The 25333-nt window shown below is 40.5% G+C and overlaps 1 protein-coding gene and 1 long non-coding RNA gene across 6 annotated transcripts in view, besides 2 other annotated features; one reads left to right on the top strand and one right to left on the bottom strand.

Moving 5' to 3' along the window:
- Positions 1-783: 783 nt before the first annotated feature.
- LOC105371254 (uncharacterized) lies at positions 784-9852 on the bottom strand. Of its 2 annotated transcripts, none has more exons than XR_007066565.1 (2): positions 5129-9852; positions 784-2961 (listed from the first exon to the last, which is right to left on the bottom strand). It is a non-coding gene; the product is annotated as an uncharacterized LOC105371254 (long non-coding RNA). The 2 variants fall into 2 exon arrangements; XR_922087.4 differs by having other exon boundaries at positions 8851-9450.
- Positions 9446-9946: an enhancer, noted in NCBI's record as "H3K27ac hESC enhancer chr1:145209006-145209506 (GRCh37/hg19 assembly coordinates)". NCBI's record gives its function as "activates a minimal SCP1, AML or CMV promoter by ChIP-STARR-seq in primed H9 embryonic stem cells {active_cell/tissue: H9 hESC(primed)}" and the evidence as "EXISTENCE:reporter gene assay evidence [ECO:0000049][PMID:30033119]".
- NOTCH2NLA (notch 2 N-terminal like A) overlaps positions 9564-25333 on the top strand; it is an 80157-nt gene continuing 64387 nt past the window's right edge. For all 4 annotated transcript variants that reach the window (NM_001364006.2, NM_001395231.1, NM_203458.6 and 1 more), the window contains exon 1: positions 9564-9876. In NM_001364006.2, the coding sequence (NP_001350935.1) occupies positions 9874-9876 (3 nt within the window). In that variant the 5' untranslated portion in view covers positions 9564-9873. The remainder of the gene's footprint in view (positions 9877-25333) is intronic.
- Positions 9947-10427: an enhancer, noted in NCBI's record as "H3K27ac hESC enhancer chr1:145209507-145210007 (GRCh37/hg19 assembly coordinates)". NCBI's record gives its function as "activates a minimal SCP1, AML or CMV promoter by ChIP-STARR-seq in primed H9 embryonic stem cells {active_cell/tissue: H9 hESC(primed)}" and the evidence as "EXISTENCE:reporter gene assay evidence [ECO:0000049][PMID:30033119]".

Here is a 25333-nt window from a genome sequence, read left to right as displayed (position 1 = left end):
GGGCGACAGAGCAAGACTCCATCTTAAAAAAAACAAAACAAAACAAAACTATATGTATGTCTTGATTACAACTCTGTAAGAACATACATATGAAGAACAAATGAATAAAACACATGAAAATGCTATTAGTGGTGGTATTATAGGTCATTTTTCCTTTAAATTTTAAATTGATGTTTTAATGTTTATAATTAGTTGGCAATAAATAGAATTTTTTTTCCTTGCTGGCTTTAAAAAATTTACTAGGAACACTTAGAAGAGAGTATTTCAAAATAAAAAGTTGTAAGGTGAAAACAATCAGTAGAATTGTATGAACACCTCCCATATAAGGGACAGATGCCAGGAAAAGAAGTCCTTAAGTTGAGCCAGAGTTGGAAGCTGACAAGCAAGAGGTTGGATGCCACGATATAGAAGAGCACAAAAGAGGTATATGACCTAGCCCTTGACTCACAGTAAACTTGAGAGACTAGGCTTACAATAAATGATTCGAGGATAACTTATTCAGTTATCTAAACAACGGATGGGACTGGATCACTGAGGCAGTGACCTGTGGGCAGGCGGGACAATGCAGAGGTCAATTATGTGCCATCGGAGTTGATCAGATGGACCTGGGCTTAAATCCCTGTGCCACTGCTTAGCAGCTGTGTGATCTAAGACAACTTACTCAGGTTTCATTTTCTGCACTGTGAAGTAGAAATAATAATACCTTCTCATAAGCTGTTGAAGCATTACAAACAATAAAGCAGGTAAAATGCTTAATACAATGTTTGACACACAAAATTGCCATTATCGTTATTAACGCTTTATTGTTGCGTCATCTATGAGTATTTATGATGGAGGAAACTGATTTAGACTAGGGGCACATTGAATTCTTTGGAGGGACTTCAGGGAGGTATCTTAAGAGCCGTGAGAGAGTCTCAGGAGGCAGTGAAGACTCCCTCACTGCTGGAACAATGCTGTGGGCTCACCCTAGGCCTTCAGGAGGGGAGAGAGATGTGCAAGGAGGAACTCCATGGTGGTTCTTCTTTTGCTAGTGTTTGTGCTACTTCCCCACTTCTAAACAGGTGCATAGTACTCCATAGCACCCTTTCATCTTCCTTTCCCACTCTTCTGTTCTGTTTTTCTTCTCTTCAACTCTTCTTACTTCCCTTTTCTCCTCAAAACCAAGTGGTGGATGGGTAAGGAACTATACTATCTTTTGTGTGTTCTAACTTTGCCGTTTTTTTTTGTTGTTGTTGTTGTTGTTATTGTTTGTTTTAATTTTTGTTTTTTCTTGAGACAGTGTCTCACTCTGTCACCCAGACTGGAGTGCAGTGGTGTGATCACAGCTCACTGTAACCTCAACCTCTGGGGCTCAAGTGATCCTCTCACCTCAGCCTCCTGAGTAGCTGGGACCACAGGCACAAGACACATGCTAGGCTAATTTTTAAATTTTTCATAGAGATGGTGTCTCGCTAGGTTGCCCAGGCTGGTCTCGAACTTTTCGCCTCTTGTCTCAGCCTCCAAAGTGCTGGGATTACAGGGTGAGCCACTGCACGTAGCTCGGATATAATTGTTGAGTAGCTGAATAGGAGACCTAAGTCAGCCTTGAAAATCACCTGTTCCTGCTTATTTTCAGGGATCTCTTTCCTATTTGCCAATAAACACATTTTAGTGGACTAATCATGAATCGTTTTATGGTTGGCCTCACATTTAAAATGTTGGTGGTGCTCCTCCTGCCCTCCAAAGCCCTTTATGGAGCACATTAACAGAGCCCTGCCAGCGTTACAAGCTGGGCCCCACCTGAGGTTGTCTCCATTGCCCCCTCCACCCACTTTACTGGCCACAGAATGTTTGTGCTTTGGTGTTTTCATCAGTTGAGTTCCTTTTGCTCACCAAAGAAACACCACAAAAGACACTTTTGCCAGAAAACCTTTCTCCTCCCTTGCTTCAAATACATCACTTTACAAAGAGTGTTTTAATTAAAACAGCTTATAAAAGTTTATGCTTTGGATTTTTTTCCTCCCAGGGAAACAGTATTCAGGCTGCATAGAGTCATTCTACTTGGTGGGATGACTGTCCTAAAGATGTCCTTTCCCTAAGCCCAATTTCCCCACCAGAGAGAAGAGCCTGCCAGGGTTGTTAGGGCCGAGAAGATGGTCTCAGATGCAGCAGCGTGCTGGGCCCATTGCAGAGTGCTCAGTTCATCTTCTGGGTAGTCTGTGTCTGGTTTCATGCCAGGAGGGAGAGCTAAAGGGAAGCTACAGAAGCATCCACGGTTGGCAGGACTGTTGGACATTTGCGGCTTCAGCAGGGTCACCCTGTTTGGTTGAGCAGGTTGTTTCTGTACAAGGCAGCGAGCATCCAGGGTCTGAGTCAGGGACTGAGATCCAGACTGTGCCAGGCTTGACCTATGCCTGCCATGGGGCTGGGTATTAGTTTCCTGTGGCTACTGTGATGAACTGTCACCAGCTGGGTGCCTTAAAACAACACATTTCTTCTCTCACAGTTTTGGAGGCCAGAAGTCTGAAATCAAGGTGTCATCTGGGTTCTGGAGGCTCAGAGGGAGAATCTGTTCTTAGCTTCTGGCGGCTACCAGAAATCTTTTTTTTTTTTTTTTTTTTTAATCTTAAAAGTTGTCTTCTAACTTCAGCACTCAGAGTTTACATAAGTAAGCCTGGGTTTACCCTACCCACTTTTTCCCTTATTTTTAAAATATCTATTTCCCCAACCATTGTCTTTAGTAAGTACTCTAAAATGACAGTCATCAGCAGAAACGCAAGGATTCCAGGCCATAAGAGTTTGATCAAGAAAGGATTTTTTGAGGTAGCTATATCTTGCAAAAGAAACAGAGGTGTGAACTGTCTGCAGGGCTCTTCTCGGCAATGAGGTGTTCCTTCTGGATTCAGATATAGATCTTAATGGGGTAAACATTCTAGGTCTTACCACCATCTGTTCTTCTTTTTCTGCTTAGACTGTTAGTACCTGTTATAAGAGGAAAGGAGGCAAAAGTGTGAAAGAAAAATGGTTGGATCAGTGGTCTGAGAAAGAGGATAAAGTAGTCATGTGACATTATTCTTAACAGAGATTAGAATGATTAAAAACAAAAACAAGTTGGTATCCAGGATATTCAGGTACAACCACCCCTTACCTGCTGATTCCAATTTCACATTCCATTCCACATTGATGAATAATAATAATGATGTACTTTTAGCTTTGTCAGAAATCCTATCTGCATATTTATAAGGTCATTATGTTTAGTTGTTGCTGATACCTGGTCTGAGTCCAGCAATTACCACCTCTGTCTCTTTGCACACACTGGTAGACATACACACCACTGATTTGTACTTTCCTATAAAATTACTCTTCCCCTTTTTAATTAGAGTGTTTTCAGAAGCAAACCCTATCGTTAAGGCCATGTATGCTTCCATTATAAATACCTGTTTCCAGCCATTAATTATCTCCCAATGAATTACTTACTTAGAAGGAGATTTTTAATGCATTTTTTTTTTTTTTTTTGGAGACAGGGTCTCACTTTGTCACCCAGACTGGAGTGGTGGAGTGGTGTGATCACGGCTTACTGCAGTCTTGACTTCTCAGGCACAGGTGATTCTTCCACCTCAGACTCCTGAGTGGCTGGGACCATAGGCGTGCACCACCATGCCCAGCTAATTTTTGTATTTTTTGTAGAGTTAGGGTTTCAACATGTTGCCCAGGCTGGTCTTGAACTCCTAGCCTCAAGTGATCCTCCCGTCTTGGCCTCCCAAAGTGCTAGGATTACAGGTGTGAGTCATTGTGCCTGGCCTGTGCACACTTTTTATAATGGGATTTCTCTTCCTTACTTTTGATGTCCCCTCTCTCATACTTAGTTAACCATTTTGAATTCCACTTAGTAAGAAAAGTTTCCATTTTCTTTTTCTTCGGGGGACTTAGATATGATCTGCACCTAGATGGTAAGAAGATTTTCCATATTTTGAAGTAGAAACTTTCTGTATGCCTGAATCTTGCTGTCAAGAATGTCTTGGCTAATTATGAAGGAAGAATATAAGAATGTGAGTAAAAACAATTCAACAGTCCCTGAGAACAACGTCAATAAATATTCAAAATTGCATAACCATTTTAGTGACTAAAGCACTGAGACTCATCCAATAATACTGTGGTTTGATAATTACACAGTTGTGAATTTATGATACTGTTAAATTGGGGAGACATCTTGGTGCATACAGGTCAACCTTTTCATACATCATTATATACAAAAAGTACACACCTACTTAGGAATTGAAGTGTAATACCTCCTAGCATAAAATGCTTAAAAGAAGATTTTAAGGGAGTGATACAGTGAGCATTCCTATATGAATTTTCCTGCTTATCTCAAGCATAGCAGAAGATGTGAAATTTCTAGGTAAGTTTTTTTTTTTTTTTTTGACAGGGTCTTGCTCTGTCACCCGAGCTGAAATGCAGCAGTGGTAACATGGTTCACTGCAGCCTCAACCTCCTGGGATCAAGTGGTCCTCCCACCTCAGCCTCCCGAGTAGCTGGGACTAGAGACATGCATCACCATGCCCAGTTAGTTTTTTAATTTTTTGTAGAGACAGGGTCTCACTTTGTGGCCCAGCCTGGTCTTGAACTCCTGGGCTCAAGCCATCCTTCTGCCTTGGACTCCCAAAGTGTTGGGATTACAGGTGTGGGCCACTGTGTCCTTCCTTAACATAATAAAATTGAGATAATCACATTCATAAAAGGGCAAAACTATGTCAACAAGCCCACTGTATTAGTCTGTCTTCACAGTGCTGTAAAGAACTGCCCAAGACTGGGTAATTTATAAAGGAAACAGGTTAACTGACTCACAGTTTAGCATGGCTGGGAAGGCCTCAGGAAATTTAACAATCATGGCAGAAGGCAAAGGGGAAGCAAGGTACCTTCTTCATAAGGCAGCATGAAGGAAAATTAATGCAGGAGGAACTACCAAACACATAAAACCATCAGATCTCGTGAACTCGCTCATTATCAGGAGAACAGCATGGGAGAAACCGCCCCCATGATTCAATTACCTCCACCTGGTCTCTCCCTTGACACATGGGGATTACAATTCAAAATAAGATATTGGGTGGGGACACAGGCAAACTATATCGCCCATATTACAATTACTTACATTACTGATTCCCTTAATTAGAGCAGAGGTAATTAATTGGGTCTAGGCTCAGTGGAAGGGTCTGGCTGGTTCTTAATTCTCAGAGCTAGTTTGAATCTTGAGGTTAACGTCTTGCCTTCTAGAACTTGTCCTGTGTTTGGCTGAACTCTGTGAACCTTTCAGAAAGTAGGTCTTTATTGAGCACATACTCTATGCAAGGCAAAGAACCAACTACTGTGGAGTTTACAAACATGAATAAGGGGTAAGAAATGACTCTTGTCACATGGTTTACAGTCCAGCTGTGTGGGCCACCACAGTTCATATCTTTCAGGCTGGGGACTGGATGAGAGGAAAGTGGACTCAAAATTAATCCCAGTGCTCTCTACTTTCCCATATCCCTGTGCTTTATCTCTGTTGTAGTTATGTTATTTGTATGTTGGCCTGCCTCACTGCTCTGTGATCTCCAAAGAACAGGGACTAGGTTTTATTTATTTCTGCATTGCCGCAGAGCCTAGTATGTGCTTTATAGAGAACAGGCTCTCAAAAAAATTTTAAATTAAAAGAATGTATTCACTTGTTTATGTTTCCTAGTTACAGTGGGCCAGCTTGTTCTGTGCTAATATGGAAGTGACAAGAAACTGGTGTCCCTCTACGCAGAGGTCCCCACACTAAATATCATCTTGGATGTGCTTCACATTGTTGCACAAAGGTACAGTGGAGTGAGACTGAGTAAGAGGACAGAAATAGTGGGGGGTTTGTCTCAGCTCACTAATTACTTATTTAACCTTGGGCAAGATACTTAAAGCTCTATCTCAGTTTCTTCATCTGCAAAATGGGGATAATAATGACTGGGGTGCCTATTTCCCACGATTGTTTTGAGGATCAAATGAGATAATATAATTAAAAGTGTTTTTGGAAGGTCTAAATCACTGTGCAACTGCAAGGCATTATTAAAAGAAATCTTCCTTTTAATTCCTGCTTCCACAAACATCTCATCACATATCCTTGGGTTCCTGGGTTACATGGAGAGATTCGTGGTGTAGCTCAATCTATGTGTCATAGCTATCCCACAATCTCTTCTTCAACTTCTCCAACACACCAAGACATTCTTCCAGTCTTGCACTGCTCCCCAGTTTATATAGATATATATGTTCCTCATTCAGCATTTATGTAAAACATATATTATTGAGCACTTATGTGATAGAAACCGGGGCAAAACAGAAAATAAAACAGAGTTTTATTTTGAGAGTTTTTTACAGCTTGTCGGCTCTGAGAGGACAGACATGAGAACAAATAAGTGCCCAATTCTGCATTTATTTTGGAAGGCAGTTTTATGTGAGTTTAAATCAGTAAAGACATAGATGTATATTTTTAGTTTTGATTAAAACTAAAACAATTGGTAGCCCTTACTCATATTTTTCTATCATTAAAACTTATCTTTAAAAAATGTCTTCAGTCATATTTTTCCCTTACTTCCATTCATATTTACTCTTTACTTCTCTTGTCCTTACCAGAATGTATGCAGTAAGTTTTCATATTGTAACACATTCAACAAAAGTTATATGTGAACATAATAGCTGCTTTCTTTAAAACGGTTACTTTGAGAAACTGCATACCTATTTTTTTTTTTTTTTTTTTGAGACGGAGTTTCACTCTTGTTGTCCAGGCTGGAGTACAGTGGCACGATCTTGGCTCACTGCAATCTCTGCCTCCTGGGTTCAAGTGATTCTACTGCCTCAGTCTCCTGAGTAGCTGGGATTACAGGTGCTCGCCACCATGCCCGGCTAATTTTTGGTATTTTTAGTAGAGACGGGTTTTCAACATGTTGGCCAGGCTGGTCTCGAACTCCTGACCTCAGGTGATCTGCCCACCTCAGCTTCCCAAAGTGCTGGGATTATGACATAAGCCGCCACGCCTGGCCTGCACATTTATTTTAATAATGTTGTCATAGCTACAGTCGCTTCTAGAGTTGCTCTTTGGGGATAACTATCTTATATTCTTCTGAATATATTTTAATAGTGACAAAACTTATCTTTGCAGGTGATTTTTAAAATTTGTATGCAGCCAAGTCACTATGAATTATCTTTAGTGAGTAAAGAGGAAGATCGAACTGGTAACACTGTGGGTAAACAACTGAAAAATAATGTTATCTTTCTCTGAACATACTTGCACAAGACAAATTCCAAAAATATTTTGACTACGTTATTTTTGAAAAGGGTTTCCAGTATTTCAATGTGACTACTTTCACTAATGATACTTGCTTACCTAAAGTGCTTGTTAACATGCAGTTTTGGAACTTCATAGGTCTATGCCCATACTGACTTGTACTTGCTTAGTGTTGTTTTACATTCTAGTTCAACATCTATTATGTGATAGACACTGGGGATTAATAGGCTGTGGTCTTTGCCCATGAGGACCTCAAAACTTAGTTGAGAACACAGAAATACAAAGAGTCCTGTGTGAAAAATAAGTATCGGTGTTAAGATAAAGAAGCGGCAGTGGAAGACAGTGGAGGGACTGTCTGTTAGAGGGAGGAATTTATTGTGGTGTCGGCAAAGCCTTCTTTGGACTGAAGGATGAATTATGATTAGAAGTTCATTAAGAGGAGGAGGGAAGGGGACTACAGGAGTCATTCCAAGCCAAAGGAACAAAAGATACAGGGACAGAAACAGCAAGATATGTTTGGGGGAATCTCAAGTAATACTGTTATTGTGTGAAGTTCACAACAGGGGCAGGGAGGACAGGAGATGGGGCCCAATGACGAAAAGGCCTTGTATGTACCATGTTTAGAAGTTTGAATTTTATCCTATAGGAGTCAGGGAGAGGTTCTATGGGTAGGATTTCTCATCCCAACAGGATTGTAAACTCCCACATCCAATTAGTCACACCTCCATTTTTTTTTTCTGTTTCTTTAACATTGTCTCAGATTCATTCCTTCTGAAATCTACCTTATTAGTTCAGGTCTTCTTAAATTTGTGCCTGGACTGTTCACCAACTCTTGACTGGTCCTGGGGCTCCAGTTCACCTCTTGCTCCCAACAATCAATTTTCTACAGAATTATCAGAGCAATCTTCCTTTCCATCAATCTCAACTCTGTTCAAAAACTTTCAATAGTTTTATGTGACCTAAGAGGTAGCTGCCTCCCCACCCTTTCAGCTTGCCATTCAAGGCTGCATAATTTGGTCCCAACCCCCTTTCCGTCCTTGACTCCTCTCACTGCTAACAGAGACAGAACTCATTTACTTACTCTTCTGACTGTACCTTTGCTTTCACGAGGGCTCTTTCCCGGAATGATATGTCCATACAACTATTGTTGTTGTTCTTACTTTTAGCTCTTTTCTTAGAAGCCCACTTGTACCCAGGTTTGATCACACCCCCTACTCTCCTGCCCTGGAAGTAACTACTATTCTGGTTATAGTCTCTTAATATCTATATCTATATATATGCATCCACAGATAATGTGTAGTATTGTCTTGAAAAAAATATACATAAATGGTATACTTTGTCTCCCTCTGCGATTATTTTCACTGTCATTTAGTTTTTAAGATTTATCCCTATTGACATAAATAGCTATAGTCTTTTCAATTACTGTGTTGCATTTCATTTTATAAATATACCATACATTATTCATCCATTCCTCTAAGGGTGGGCATTTATGTTGTTTTCAAGGTTTTGCTATTACAGTGTTACAACGAATATCCTTAGCTTAGCTGGTCTCCTTGTCTTATACAAATTTTACTGACCTTTCAAGATCCTGCTTTCATCCCAGCTCCTCTGGGAAAGCCTTCCCTGAATCCCCCAGCCCACAGCGGCAAAGTCTTGGTACTCAAAGTTGCTTGTGCATCTTTGGTATCATCCCACTGCCAAGCACACAGCTACGCAAAGTAAGGCACTTAAGAAATATTCGCTACACGGATGAACAAATGAATGAATGAATGGGGCAGCACCACTCCGTGATGGCTCTATTCCTTTTTAATGGACTTTGGCGCCTTGGCCCACTTTCCTTCTTTGACAGCACTGGTCCTACTCCAGAGCATTCCTCTAGCTAGCAAAGCAGTGTGTGGATGTGTGGGTGTAGGTGGCGATACAGACCTCACTGGATGAGGACCGCCTCTCCCTGCAAGTTCACGATCCCGGCAAACTCCAGTGCTTGAAGTTCAGAGTCCTACCCCACCCCGCTCACCTCCACGCCCCTTCTGCACTGGTCAAGCCAGCGAGCCGCTGCAGCCCTGATCGAGTTAAGGCGCGGCGGCCCCCGGGGCCGCTGGAGAAGGATGCGGACGGGGCCAGTGACTCGTAGTAGATCCCTCCGCGCGGAGCTCGGGCCGGCGCTTCTTCCTGCGGGAAACCCCTGGGTGCCCAAGGCGGCGGGGCCGAGGCCGCGGCGACAGTGGGGCGGGGCTTGCGGTGGGAGGAGGCGGCTGAGGCGGAAGGACACACGAGGCTGCTTCGCTGCACACCCGAGAAAGTTTCAGCCAAACTTCGGGCGGCGGCTGAGGCGGCGGCCGAGGAGCGGCGGACTCGGGGCGCGGGGAGTCGAGGCATTTGCGCTGGGCTTCGGAGCGTAGCGCCAGGGCCTGAGCCTTTGAAGCAGGAGGAGGGGAGGAGAGAGTGGGGCTCCTCTATCGGGACCCCCTCCCCATGTGGATCTGCCCAGGCGGCCGCGGCGGCGGCGGCGGAGGAGGCGACCGAGAAGATACCCGCCCTGCGCCCCGCTCTGCTGTGGGCGCTGCTGGCGCTCTGGCTGTGCTGCGCGACCCCCGCGCATGGTGAGTATCGGGCTGAGGGGCGCTGTCCGCGGCGCCCGGGGCTGCCACCTGGGGCGACCCTTCTCCCCCTCGGTCCTTCTCTGTGTGGGAAGGCCAGGCTCGGCCGCCGGCGCGGAGCGAGGCCACTCGCTGGGTTCCCGAGAGTTTGGACATCGCCGGGGGCCCCTCCCGTGGTGCCCCGCCAACCGCCGGGGTTCCCCGCCAACCGCCGGGGTTCCCCGCCGCCTCTGCTCCCCGCGGCCCGGGACCCCTCACACGCCTCCTCGGCAGGAGGGAGGCCGGCAGCAAGTCTCAGAAACTCCTTTTTCGTAGTGCCAGGGTGCAGGGAGGTGGGCAGTTTTGCCCTTCAGGTTCCGCGTTTCCTGGGGTCGAGCGAGAGCCGACGGCGGGCCTCGGAGGGGCTGAGCGAAGGAATGCCAGATTCTGGCGTGGAGAGCGGGGGCAGGGCCGCCAAGCCAAACGGCCTGCACCTTCGCAGCCAGCCTCGCCTTTGCCAGGGGGCGGCACATGGGCCGGGTGTGTGGGCTTGGTTTGGATGGGGACGGGGTTTTGCGGCGCGCCTGAGTTTTGACACTCCAACCCCACCGAAAGTCCGGAGGAGCCGGGTGTGCTGCTCGCGTCTTTGAAAGGTGGAGGCAGGAGAAGTAGGGCAACTGGTGTGGCTGCATGCTGAGGCACATGATTTAAAAATCTCAACTGCTGTTATTCTTTCTGAGGCGCGGAGCTCTGCTGCTGTTTCAGGCTGTGTCCAGACCCAGGAATGTGGTGTGACGATCACCAATTCCTCCAACCTGGCAGCAGCATTTGCTGCTCCTTTGGCATGGCTGGGGGTGGGGCACGGGCGGGTGAGAAAAAGTGGATACGTCAATTCAAAGGGCTTCCTTAGAAAGCTTCTTTGTGGTTGGATGTTTCTAACACGGTTGGACCAAGGAAAGGGAATCAAATCATATCTTCCCCATCCCACCCACACTTTTAGATTCTACATTTCTTCAGACCCTTTAGTGGAAATAACTTGGGCTTTGGAGCCCTGCTCTGTAATCCTGGATTCAAATCCAGCTCTGCTATATGAACTCACCAATAAAATGGGAATGAAATTATCCAGCTAATAGGATTAATTAAAATAATGTATATTAAACGGATGACACTCCAAAGGTGTTCAGAAAGTCCTTTGAGGGCCGAGGCTGTGTTTTACTGCTTCTGAGATTGATGCTCCCAGTGGGATGGTGTCTTGTGCATATTTGTTGAACGGAAAGCAGCCCCTTCTTTTTCTGAGCCTAATCTGAATAAAGATTTTTACCTTCACCAAAAAACTAGTACATGAACTACATCTGTTTTCAAAGAAAAGGTTAGGAAGATGATGAGCTTCAGAAAAATATGGTCTTTGTTCATTGTTAACAGTCAGTCGACATGTCAATCGCAGATGTTTAAAAAGAGAACAAGGTTATTTATCACCCGAAAATAGTACTGGGTTGTTCAGCACCAACTAGATACTTCTTGGAAAGTTCAAATTTCGTACACGTCTAGGTCACTAAGAATTTCAGAAGTGGACCAGGAGGCTTTGTAGTGATGAAGCAGAGCTGTTGTTTCTGAAGCATTTAATAAAGAGCATATATGATGGTGTTTTTGCTTTTCCTTTTTCTTTGAGTGAAAGCTTTAAGTGTAGCTTTAGGATAGAGAGGAGTATAATCAATGAGACAGTCTGAGGGTAATAATCCTTGGTCTATCATTAACTTGTTTTGGTAAATAACTTAATCTTCATGATATGTAGTCTCCTCACCTATGAAGCAGGACTAAAGGAATAACCTGCTTTAGAGAATTGTAGGGAATAATAAATATGATTGTAAAGTGATTTGAAAAATTAAGTATTAAATAATATGTCAGAAATGGGATTACTCTGACACATAGGGCTTCTTTTATTATAGGATCTCAGTGCGTAAAACTATGCCCTCCACCTCTGCTCTGCTGAGGTGCTGCGATTATTAGCTAGCTTTTAGGTAGTCAAGTTGAGTGTTAGTCAAGTTGACTCAAAGGATAGGATTTAGATATTTTGATTTTTAGACAGGTGTTCTTTAGATGCTAAACTAATGCAGTAGAAGAGATTTAGAAGCCTGTTTCTTGGTACAAATCTTAAATCTTCTTAGAGTCTACAGTGAAGGCTTCTTGAATCCTCCTAATTTATTATTGTGTTTTGCTAAGGTACCAATTACAGCACACCCTTCTAAACTTTTGAGTGTTCCTGTGTTTGGCTTGTGGCCAATTGTTAATTTAAACATCACGGAGTTTCTAAGGCAAGGAGATGTTAGCAGTATGTCTGATTGTCTAAACAGCTATCCAGGACCATACTCTTGCTCCTTGTTTTCTTTTGCTTTGCAATGGGAAGTGACTCCCTGATTTTGCTGCCTGCTAGATAATTTCTCAGCTGAATTCTTCTCTTGCTTAAACAAAATCGGAGTAATTTTCTTTCAGATGGTGATGAAATTTAACCTAAAACTATTTTTCCTTTCACTTTCTTATTATTCCTTTTTTTTTGGTGTGGTGGAGAGGAGGAGGAGAGTGATTCCTAGTCTCTCTTATTTTTCTGAATGTTTAGATTTAAAAAATATTTACCCATAACTTCTTGGGATCTCTCTGCTCCATTCCCACCCTACTGCCTCTCCTGTAGGCTTCTATGACATAGAGAAGCAACTTTTGGTTCACCTGGATTGTAGTTGCTGACTTCAGGACCTTTAGAGAATGTTTAAATTCAGTGGGATATGCTTGGATGGTTCAGAGCAGCCTTACAATACATTTTAAAAATATCACACCCACAGAAATTCTATTTTGCCCACAAAATTTGCATTGATCTAGTTCCCACTCTGTGTTGCCATTCCTAGTGATCCTCCTCCCTACCTCTCCCATTATGGTAGAAAAAAACTCTGTGTCCTGGCTACATCAAAATCTGTTGGGGTGGATCTTGGACTCAGCACCCAGGGATTCTGATAAGGTAAGTTTGAGAATCCATATTTTTTCAAGGTTTACAGGTGATTCTGACAAGTAACTTGGTTGCAACCCACTGATTAAGTACATTTTTTTTTTACCTTCAGGTGTGTGTATGAGGTCTTTCTAAATTTAAGAAATTTCCATAACAAATGTAACCTTAGTCATTCCAGTGTTTAACACTTCTGACTCAAGAATTTTAAAATTGCTAACGTAAGAGATATAGAATATAATGTCATTTCTTCTGTTTATCTGGGTGCAGTATGTCTGCATTGACCCTTTAGAAGGGCTTCATATATTTAGATGATATAATAAATTCTCTACCTCTCCTTTTCCCTTTTCTTCTGTTATCTCTTTTTCCTTAAATGTCATTCATACATGTTGTTTTTTGACCCTTTATCTATATACGTCTGCAATGATTTTAGAGTAAAAAACTGCAAGGCGTGATTTGAATAAGGATATAAGAAATTTTACATCATTTTCTTTATATTGTGTTCACAGTCCATAGTTACATGCTTCCTTTCTTGATGTCTCAGTTCGAATGCCTAAATTTGAACTATTAATTTTCCTTCCACCCTTTCCTGATTTTCCTGTTTTTGTTTCCCCCCCTTTCTCTGCAAATGACTTGAAACCAAAAGGTCTTCTTTTCTTTCTTTGTCAGTCTACCATATGTGTAGTATTTTGGACAGATCACTGAACTAGGAGCCAGAAGACCAGAATTCTTCTCCAGGTCTGTTATTAATTGGTTTGGTGACCTTGTAGGAGAGCCACTGTTTTGGTCCTCCATTTTCTGATGTTCATTGTTCATGGTCACAGAGCCAATTAGAGTTGAGACTAGAATTCCTTTCTTCTGGTGTCCAGTGCCTCATTCACTGTCCACATTGCTTCCATCTCGTGTACAAATGCGCTTATGTGCACAAAAACTCTTATAACATCCTCAAGTGCTTATTGTTAATGCGTACATGAGGAAGGAATCGTGTATTTTCATTTATGTGTTTATTCTAATGCCCATACCCTACCCCTGTACCTGGCATGATGCCTTGGTATCTAATAGGCACACAATAAATACTTGTTCAGTCGAACAATTATTTTTAGCCACTTTCTTATTTTGGACAACTGTGGTACTCCTAGACATTTTAAAAATAGTATTTGCAGGAGTCATGCTTACCTTACATTTGGGGAAAAACCAAATTTTTCCCTTCCCCAGATGTTTCATTTAAACTTGTAATTTTGAATTTCTTTGTGTGTGGGGTTTCTTTCTTTCTTTTTCTGATCACTTCTGCAATTTATAAAGGTCACTTTGACTTTGGAATCTCACTTCAAAGGCACTGCCATCCACCCCCTGCCTCTCATTCAAGTTTGCTTCCACTGCTTCCTGTATTACTGTATTACTAGGCCAGCAATTTCTGTTATTTTGTCCAGAATAGCCACACCTTATTGTAATTTCATCATTTTGGGGACTAGTCATTTTTGGAATACTATTTTTAAAATTAGAGTTAACTAAGTTTATATTTATTTTGATAATTTTTTTTGAGATTTTTTTCATTGAGTTGGATATTGCAAACTTGTACTGGATTGAGAGAATATGTACATTTAGTAAAGTATATTTGCTTTTTTTTTTTTGAACCAAGAGAGTCCCCTGAACACCCTACTGACAAAAACTAAAGGTGAAATATGATGAATAAATATTTGAGAGAATCACATGGTGTTGAGTTGTCTCTGCCACATGATTTTGATCCTTGAGGGCCAGGTCTGTGCTACACACATTTCTTCTCTGTACTACAGAACTTGTCTGGCATGTGCCCCAAATTCAGAGTCAACTGAGCGGCAGGTCTTAGTCACAGCATCTGTGACTCCTGCTTTCCCACCTTTAGAACATTCTATAGGAGAGGCTGATGGTGAGTTGGAGTGTGTTTCTATGTTCTTTTTTCCTTTGAAGAGATAGGATCAGTTGAAAGCTGACCCCACCCACAGACTTTTTTTGCTATCTCTTTTAATTAATTAAGGAGTGGCTGAAATTTTCCTCTTTGTTGACTTATGCATTGGCGGGAACTTTAAAATTCATCTAGTCTTTCTGTCCATCCCATGCTGGATCTGATGTTTACAACATTCTAGTCAAGAGGTACCATATTTTCTCTCTTCTTGAACATCTCTTGTGGTAGACAGCTCTCCACAGCAGTTTATTCCATCTTTGGCCAGCTCTAATTCTTAGAAAGATCTTCTTATATTCAGCTGTAATCCATCTCCTCATGACTTGTCCTCATTGACATCTACTCAGAAATTTGTCTCAGAGTCCTGAGACCTGTGCAGGTGATAGGGACCCAAAGAGATGCTTGTCTGTAGACTTTACTGAGCTGACACCCAGCTCTCCATAAAAGGAGTCAAACCCAGTGAGGAGCATGTCTGGGGTGATTGCTCAGGTAAAGCATCTTAGCCCTACTTGTTTCATACCTCCCTGCACAGGTGGGCACTGGTGGGAGAATAACATTTATCAAGCAGTGTTTCCCTAACCTCTCTTATGATAAGAATAGCTCAGGTGTTCTCATGGAGATTCTGATTCAGTGCATCTGGAATGTCATCTGGGAATTTGTGTGTTCAAGAAATAGCCAGGTGATTCTTACATTAGGAAAGTTTTAGAATCACTGCAGAGTGAATCTGGGAAATCAAAGTGTTTGTTTTTGTTTGTTTGTTTTTTGAGAGTATTAGAGACAGGTTGCTTTGGCTAGATCCTGTGGTCATTTTTCCCCCTTGGAAATGCCTCCTACTTGCTGGCCTCACTTAGTACAGAGAAGAAAGCTGCTATGGTATAAGGTTAGTAAAGTTGTTTGTTTTGTCTTAAAAGAAATTTGCGAAATCCAGCATTTTCGGACTTCTGTTTGTGTTGTATGACTTTGTTGTAAGCCTCCTTATTCCTCCATTAGAATGTTACCTGAGATGTTAGAATGCATAGGAGTTCCACAGCCTTTTTGGTGTCCACTAAAGAATTCTGTCCTCAGCCGTTGCAAATGGTGCTTCCTTTGAGGATTTCTGCTTCATTAGCTCATGAACACATATTTGGTGTCGGCAGTTTCCCTCAGATGTGTTAGTGTGGAGAGATATAAAGGTCACTCATTTCTGGTGGTCCTGCTTTTGGGGTTTCTGGGCTGCTGCAGCAAATGAAATAAGGAAAGGAAAATAAAGGAGGAATCTAGGGCTTCTTGAGCAGAACAAAACAATCTGCAAGAAGGGGCACAGGATTGCTCCTCTCACAAAGACACTTGATAATACTGTCCTTGATAGGAAGAAGGAAGTGGCTTCAGATCTGAAAGGATATGCTCATAGGCTTGAGACGGGACAAACTGCATCACTGGTAGTGGTAGGAGGTTTGCCGTAGATCTGTTTTTTCTCCTGTCTCTCTTTTTTGAGGAGAATATTATCTGTATGGCAGAACATACATTGTGGTCTTAAAAAGGAGAGTAAAGCCAAGAAAGGGGGATGATAAAGCCATAGCTTGGAATAAGAAAAGCAAAGGAATTATTGTATTAATTTGTGTATGTAAATACATAGGTTTCCATGTAATTCACTGGTAGGATCACTAGCCCTTGGCACTAACATTTGCTATCTTTGTAGCTCTGCTGTCTTAGTGGTGTATTGGGGGAGCATTGTGGTGTGTTGTCACACTTAATTTGTGTGCTTCCCTTGGCATCATGTGGTAGCAAGTACAGGGTATTCTACTCTTCTAGATGTGTGGGAATCATTGACCAAGTAGAAAATATGGTCCTGCTCCCAAGGAGCTGACATCATCATGGAGACAAGACAGATAAGCACACAATTAGGAATATGAAATACAGTTATTTTATCATTTATCTATGCTCTCTGAAAGCAGTTTCCTGCAGTCAGGGTGACTCAGAGCTATAGGGTCTTGGGAGTAAACTTCAGGTCTTAATACCACCAGGGAAAGGCGACCTCCAGCTCACCCTTGCTGGGCTTGTCTGCTGTCGTGAGCTGTCTGCCATTTTCCTCTTTCTGTGTTGTAATTTAGAAGTATTAGAACTTGGCTTGGGGAAAAGACAAAAACCCCTTTGTCTGGTGAGGGTGTAAATATAAATTTGGCACATGTTGTGGTGTCTATTATGTCTGTTAGTGGGTTTGCGGCAAGAGAGAGTGCTGTGTTCTTAGTCCCGAATGCCAAGCCTGAACTAGGACAAGTTATGGTGGAAATATCTTCCTTGGAAGATGCAGTTCTCAGTGGCAGTGGCTGAAGGAACTTCTCGTCACAGCCAGGCAGTGACTGAAGTGTGGTGTGGACACACCCAGAGTTGCTGCCTCAGGTGGCATTGATTAATCATACTAATATCTCCCTCACCCTTTTGTACTTGTCTTGGCAAAACCCTGTTCTACTAGCTCCCCAATAGTTTGGCCTTTACTAGGTATGATTGAACAAGCTCTTGGGGGTTCACCTTAGTGTCCCTTGCCCCTCTCGCATTTCCAGCCAGCTACGTCGCTCCAGCCATGGTACCCCGGGTCCTCTGGCCAGGCAGTGAGGGGCTGGGTTTTTCTTCCCATTGGACTGAAGCACCTTTCCCTGGAGGCTTGCCTAGGGCAGTTTCTGGTCTCTGAGTCAGTTCCTTCTGCAGGATACTGGCAGCTGGCAGAACTCTGGGTTATTTGAATACATCAGCCAAACATCTTGCCAAGATGGACTCATTGTTGCATAACGACAGGTTGGATCTATGGGTGTTGCAGAACCTGTTTCTGGGTTAAGAGTAACTCTCTCACCTTTATTATATATGTTTATTCATATGATGAATGTATGTGTGTATTTTGTGAAGTAAGGAAAACATGATGATAATATTGTGGTTGGAGTTAGATACCTTATCCTAAATATGTTGTCTTTTTAACAAATAGCATTCCTTTAAAATACAGTTGTGCTTGATGAATAAGGTGTTGTACAAGAAGCTGTGGTTACATTCTAAAATAAACTGCCTTGTTCTGAGGCAGGCACGTTTTAAAATTGTTGTTTGCTTCTTTTTCATCTCTTTTTATTTTCATCTTTTTTTGTGTGAGAAGATTCTGGAAGTTTTTAAGCCTCAAATATTTTCAATAATCTATTTTAACGGGTACCTAGCAGGGAGAGGTTGTTCTATTGGTATACCTAACCAACATTCAAATAAGAATAATTGAATACTGTTTACTCACTAATCTATTCTGTTGAGTTTCTAAGTATGAATAATCACAAAACTAGATAGTGCTGATATATTAACTTCTCTAAATGGTAAATGTGGTAAGTAGCAAAGACATTTTTGTTTAATTCTCTCCTTACACATGCTTTGGTTCAGACGCTGTCAAGACACATTGAAGTTTGAGGACATGTGTATTTCGATTATTTTATTATATTTTTATTTGCTGTGAATATGGGTTTATTTATTTGCTAGATCTTCTTTAGTTAGAAACATTAAGGGCATTTACTTTATTACAACATTTAAAGTGCATTCTAATCTTCATGAGGAATTTTAGGTAAAAGACCGTATCCTGAGATTCATGCAAGTCTTTGGCATTATGTTACTATTTAAAGTAAGTAATATGTAGTGGCTTCTCTGACATATTCTTTCTAAGAGAGTTAAGGAAAATAGTTGTAACTAAAAGCAAACATTGAAACAGTTTAAGGTAGGTTTACGTAGCAACAGAATTATTCGTTATGTTTACAGATAATTAACTCATATTTATACTTTGCTGATTTTCTCTGGCACCTTTACAAGATTTTTTTATTTTTGTAATATAAAAAGTAATTATGTTTGAAAAAGTAGTTAAGGATGTTTGAAGAATCTAGAAAAGCATAAATAAAATGTCCACAATCATGCTGCCATTAATTTTTTGGTATACGTCTTTGGTTTTTTTACCCTTAGATTTAGAAAAGCTGTTGATTTATTTATATATATATATATATTTTTTTTTTTTAGTTTATGAACAGATCTACATATATATATATGCACACACACATAATATACTATTGTCAACACTAGGTTTTATTTTTAAAAATCTTTACCATTTGATAAGTGGTAAATATTACTTAATCTTAATATGCCTCTCTCATTACAGTGATATTGAATGTTTTTTCATATCATCAGTGGCGTTTGTATTGCCTTTTTTCCTACTTCTTTTGTAAATTGTGTCTTTTACTCATTTAATTATTTTCTTACTGGTTTGAAAAAGCTCTTTAAATATTAAGGGTGTTAGTCTTTTGTCTTAAATATGTCACAATATGTATGGAAATAATTAGCAGTATATAACATAACATCAAATTGCTACCAATGTTGATATAAAAATTGTTCATTTCATAGGTTAATTTTTTTTAATCCTTTGGTTTCTAATGATATTGGTTAATTCATTTGTTAACTGCTATTTTCTGTAGCTACTTGAAAGTTCTTATCTGACTGTATCGTAAATCAGCATGCTTTCAGCTGTATATGTCTAGGAAATTGACATTTACTTTAATACTTAATAAAAAAATATGTTGGAGAAAAGCAGTGTATTCTGGAGTCAAATACATGATTTTGGGTGGGTGACGTAATCGGCTACTGTCCTCCTTTTCTAGATAGCCAAGATTTTTGAAGCATTTAACATCCCTGAAAGGCAGGACTAATGCTATGTCTACCATGCACTGCTAATTCTGACACTTTGACCTAATGGATAAATGCCAGTACAGTGGGTCTAGCCAGTTAGCTTGGTCAGAGAACAAGATGACTAAGATTCTCTCCCCCTTTCCTCACCAAATTGATTAGTTGTAGGACAGAACTGACTGAAGCAACCTGTTGTTTTGGCAACCCATGGACACCACCTGTTTCTTCCATTCCTCCGTCCAGCCTCTCACTGCCCTAGTGCAGTGCTGTGTGCATAGTGGGTAGGAGATCAATGTTGTTGCTAAAGAAAGTAGCAATAAAGAAGAGTAGATTGCTTTTTTTCCAAGCTTTTGTGTTTTTAAGGCACCCCGCTGGTTTTGACATTCGTTGCTCCAGCTGAACTGCTCTATGCTGAAGCCCTGCAGGTCTCAAGTGTTTGGTTCAGAGTAATTTCAGGCCATATGAATGCTTTCTTAAGTATCATTGGAATTTACTGGGCTGGCTGTCTGCCAGCTATTACCATATTTAGCATGAAGAGACCTGGGGAATGAGGACATTTCTGATCAACCAAGGAAGGAAACCTATTTGAAGGATTACAATATTTTCTTTTTTTTTTTTTAATGGTGTAGTTCAGAAAACGCCAGTTAGACTGAGACTCAGATTTATGTCCACTGGTCTTTGTTTCTGTGCCCCATCCCAAAATTAATTTATGAATAGGAAAAGAGATTTGATAGTGAAGTTCTTTCTCACTCTGAAGTCTAATACTGTTTCTGGGAGGAAGTAAGAGAATTATTATGCCCACACTGTGCACTGAGAGGCTTAACCAGCAGGTGAAGCTGTTGATTAAAAACATAGGTTGATGAGTATTCTCATTTTTCTCCTTTGAAGCTTTCAGAAATTTTCTGCTTTGTCCTGGTCTAAATTTATTTTGGCCCAGCCCTTGTCTCCACCCTACATTTCAAACCAGTAGCCTTCCCTCTATGGCTCAACATTTCTCTGCCTCAGTTTTTTCCATTTTAAAGATGAAGATATTGTTTGGAAGGACCAGTAAATACAATTAATATAAAAATTGCTTCTGTAGAATCAAACAACCTCCAACATTTCTGTTGGAAATTTATAGTTTATAGAGTATTCTTACACAATGATCTCCTTTAATCCTCACAAACTTGGTGGAAATGGAGCCTCACAGGGGCTAGGTGACTTGTATACATTGTTTACCCCTACATAATAAGTGACAGAGCTGGTACTTAAACTTGTGGCTTGATTTTTCTTTTTTTTTTTGAGTTGGAGTTTTGCTCTTGTTGCCCAGGCTGGAGTGCAATGGCGCAATCTCGGCTCACCGCAACCTCCACCTCCCGGGTTCAAGTGATTCTCCTGCCTCAGCCTCCCGAGTAGCTGGAATTACAGGCATGCACCACAACGCCTGGCTAATTTTTTGTAGTTTTAGTAGAGACGGGGTTTCTCTATGTTGGGCAGGCTGGTCTCGTACTCCTGACCTCAGGTGATCCGCCCGCCTCAGCCTCCCAAAGTGCTGGGATTACAGGTGAGCCACCGTGCCTGGTCCTTGCAGCTTGATTTTTTAAACATCAGATTTTTTTTTCTTTTTTGATTTTTATTATTATGTGTCTGTCATTCTGCTAGGGGCTTTGCAAATATTGCTTTATTTAATTCATATGGCTATCCTTTGGAGTAGACAATATTTTTCTACATTATAGGTAAGGAATTTGGAACTTAGGTTCACAGCTTTGGATGTTGGCCTATGGTTAGTGAGGGGTGTAGCCAGGATTCAAACCCCTGTCTGGCTCTAGGGCCGCTGCAATAAATCATGGTGTTTTATGTACATTCATACACTTAACACTTTGCAACAACCCTAAGAGACAGGGGTAGGTATTTAGGGAAACTGGGGCTTCTAACTTGCACAGGATAATGCAATTAGTAAGTGGCTTAGTCGAGATTCAGAGCTAGATCTGTCTCCATAACCCTCACTCATTCCAGGATACTGCAGATGCCTATTTTTATGATATGTATAAGTAAAAATTAATTTAAAAAACTACCTTCTTTGAAGGGTCAGCCAGTTAGAACTCTTTTGTATCTTCTGAATAAGTAAGAAGTGGATGGACATTAGCTGACCGATACATTGATGGCTTTTAACCTTCTATCAGTTGATTTCCATTACCAGGACAAGCAAATATAATTTGGAGGGAAAAGAGGGGAGTTTCCATTAAGGATGAATCTTTAAGCCGAAAAGGGCCACAGTGATGAACTCTTCAGAGGACTGCTCTCAGGAGCAATGGCCCTTCTCCTCTGGGCTCTGCTTGGGGCATTCCTGTTTGTATTTATGGAGACATCTTTTTGAAAGGCAGATGCCAGCTTTGGTGGGGAGAAGGTTGGAAAACATACAAGCCTTGCTCTAAATTTACTAGCCCCGTGTCTTTGGGCTAGTTTCTGAAGCATGGTGTGCCTCAATTTTATTATTTTAAAAATAAAGATAGTAGCAGTATATTTTGGAGTTGTTATGAAGATAATATCAGTTAATAAATGTTAGATTCATTGGACAGTACCAGGCACATAGTTAAAGTGCAGTAAATAGTAGTTATTGTTGGTATTGGTGTTATTTTATGTTGCAGTACAGACTGGCTTCTTGGTGCATTCACTTTTCTTTAATCAAAAGTGGATGAGTGATTGGGAACCTTCATGAGGAAATAGGAACATCATCTTTGCAGCCTGTGGATTGTTCACTGGTTTCCTGTGATCTAATAATTATTTAAGGGTTTCATATTTGAGTCTTTTCCCTTAATGAGGTACACTTTCAGTTTGGGGAGATTTTATCTATAGGCATACCTTATTTTATTTTGTGTTCCCTTTTATTGTGCTTCACAGATTTTGTTTTATTTTTTACAAATTGAAAGTTTGTGGCAACCCTATGTCGAGCAAATGTATCAGCACCATTTTTTCCAATAGCATATACTCACTATATGTCCCTGTGTCAGTATTTTTTAGCAATAAAGTATTTTTAAACTCAGGTATATGCATTATGCTTTAGACATAATGCTGTTGCATGCTTAATGGACTAGAGTATACTGTAAACATAACTTTTGTATGCACTGGGGAACCAAAAAATTTCTGACTTGCTTCATTGTACTGTTTGCTTTATTGAGGTGAGCTGGAGCTGAAGCCACAATATCACAAAGGTATGCTTGTATTATGCAAGTTGCATTGATAGGTGTTAAATCATTTTCCCAATTTTTATTAACCACACATTTGTGATTGGATGTTATGTTTAGTAAAGATATTGTGATTTTCTGAGGTACAGCTTTGAGAACAGTATCAGGTCTAACACTCTTGTTTCCAAATTTCCTATGATATGACAAACATAATCACATGCCATCCAGTGTCACCATGCAGAGTACTAATGTGAAGCCAAAATACTTGGTGTTTTAATTAGCCTTAAAGCAGTTAATGAACTATCTCTGTTAGACATTTTGAAATAATAAAAATATCCCATTGTCTTTTATTACAACCTCAGGGGCTCCTGGAGATTTTGGGATCTTGTGTGGGGAACCACCCATCTAATCCATCCTTGTTTTAAAGAGAGAAAACCAAAGAAGCAAAGTGACTGGCCCAAGTACCTAGAGCTGGGTCAGGGTTGGGGCCAGAATCCAATCTCTTGACTTTTAGTCAAGTGATTTTTCCACTATGCTCAGTACTCAAATTATGTATCAATATGTCGGCCCTTGTTTTTTGAGGTCTGAAAAGGGTTAGTGCCAGTCAACAACAGTAGAGGAGTAGAAAGGGTGTTGGGATGGGAGAGGTGTGGCTATATTTAAAATTTCAATGACAGCAGTGAAAATAATTTGCCTGTGAACCTCTGCCTGTCCCTTTGGACTTCTTTGTAGTAGTTGAGACAGCCCGGCAGGTCTGGTGTCATTAGTGATTCAGAATTGGATTAACCTGGACTGGTGGAGTTACTTTCTCAGAAAAGGGCTTTATATTTTAACATTTGTTTCCCTTGACAGTTTGCTTCTTCTCAAGTTTTGGCAGCCTTGAACAAGTGGTTGTCAGGTTTTTATTTTGTTTTGTTTTAAGAAAAAATTCCAAATTTTATTTTGCCGATTTAGTAAGTTATCCTCTACCTGCCACTCCCTTCTGCTCCCTCTATAATTATTTCTAAGACTTTATTTTTCCATTGTGGGAACATTATGGAAGGTTTTCTTTTACAGTCTGAGATATTTATAATTATGTGTAAGCACACAGTTTATAGAATATGTAAATGGTCCATATGTTAACTTAAATACCCTTAAAATATTTTCCAATAATTTAAATCTTTCCATAAAAGTAGCTGAAGCTGCTTATAATAAAAGAGAAGTATACACGAAGGATAGCAGAATTTGGATGTAGTTAATATAGATAAATATGAATGTCACTTTGGAGGAACTGGAAGTATTTGCATGAATACTGATCAAGTCATGCCTCCTTGTTAATAGAGTGAACAAAACAGATGAATGTTTCTGTTTTCATGAAGTTTATGTGACTATCAGTAGCTTCCATATTCTGAGGGTTTATTATGTGACAGATGCTTGGGGACAAAATACTTTACTTGTTTCCTTTAGTCCTTAAAATAGATGTTAGGATTCTTGTTTACAGAAAAGTTAAGGAATGTTCATCCAGATCACCTAGCCAGTCAGTGGTAAAGAACAGTCACTGGAACCCCTCTTTCCTGATCCAAAGCCAACATACTTAACCATAATAAATAATGCCATTGTCTGGTGGAATCCTGTAGTCCCTTAGATAGTGTAATTTTGTATTTAATGTAAACATTTTGTGCACTAAACTGACTTACATTTTACTTTTTAAAACAATATTTTAATTCTGAATGAACATTTGCATAATAGGAGAATGATCTAAATTGCAAACTTCCATTTTGAAGAGTTGTAGTTCTTTTAAATCTTTTTGTAACTGGGAAGAAGAATGGAATTATGTTTGTTGTAATCCAAGGAAAGTTGGTTAGCATTCTTTCCTGTTACTTTTTGATCCCAAAAGAAATTCTTTAGTAGATTAAGACCAGGAATGAATGTGTGGATTTTTTTAAATAAAAAATTGAGAGAGATTGCAACTAGCAATTCAGAGCCAGATTTATGTTCAGAAATGTTTGATGCCAGCCGTTTTAGTTACAAATAGCTTTTTCTTGACTGTACAGTTGTGTTCTTATGGTACCATTCTGAAAGTGATGTAAGAGACCATGTAAAATGATTGGAATGCCTCAGCATCTGAACAATGCACATAGCCAATTATTAAAATTACCCAGTACTAACCTGTCTTGGCTTAGGAACTATGAAATTAACTGTGGGTAGCATTTCTACACATATCATTACAGAACAAGCATAAAGACAAGCTTGTTTTTTTCCTTTTCTGTGGATTTGTTTTTTCTTATTACCATATCTTTTGTTACTGAAAACTGGTGGTCATCTGTACTAATAGATAAGAGAAGTGTGTTTGACACCAATACCTAATCTTAGATTATCCCTGCTATTTTAAAACACAGTCCTTCGCCTGCATGCTCAGACATGTGGGTTCTTTCAAACATACTGGACTTCCTCCTTAGGTTTTAGTTGTGTTAGTCAATAGTTGAATGTTGAAGGAGAGGATGCCAAGGGATATTAAAGAAGGTAAAAGAGATAAGTGACAGCAAACATTATTTATTTTTAATTATCTCTCAGAATGACTTTTAGATACCCTTCCCTACTACCTTTTGATTTTTGCTTTAGCATAGCTGGTGAGTTTTGGAATCAGAGAGACTGGGCTCTGATTTGTACTAGCTAAGAATATTAGACAAGCCACTTAACTTCTTTAAGTCTCAGTACCCGTATTTATATAATGGGAAT

The sequence above is a fragment of the Homo sapiens genome, chromosome 1, assembly GCF_000001405.40.
Source record: "Homo sapiens chromosome 1, GRCh38.p14 Primary Assembly".
In the NCBI taxonomy this organism is placed as follows: domain Eukaryota; kingdom Metazoa; phylum Chordata; class Mammalia; order Primates; family Hominidae; genus Homo; species Homo sapiens.
This window is presented reverse-complemented; position numbering and strand designations above follow the sequence as displayed.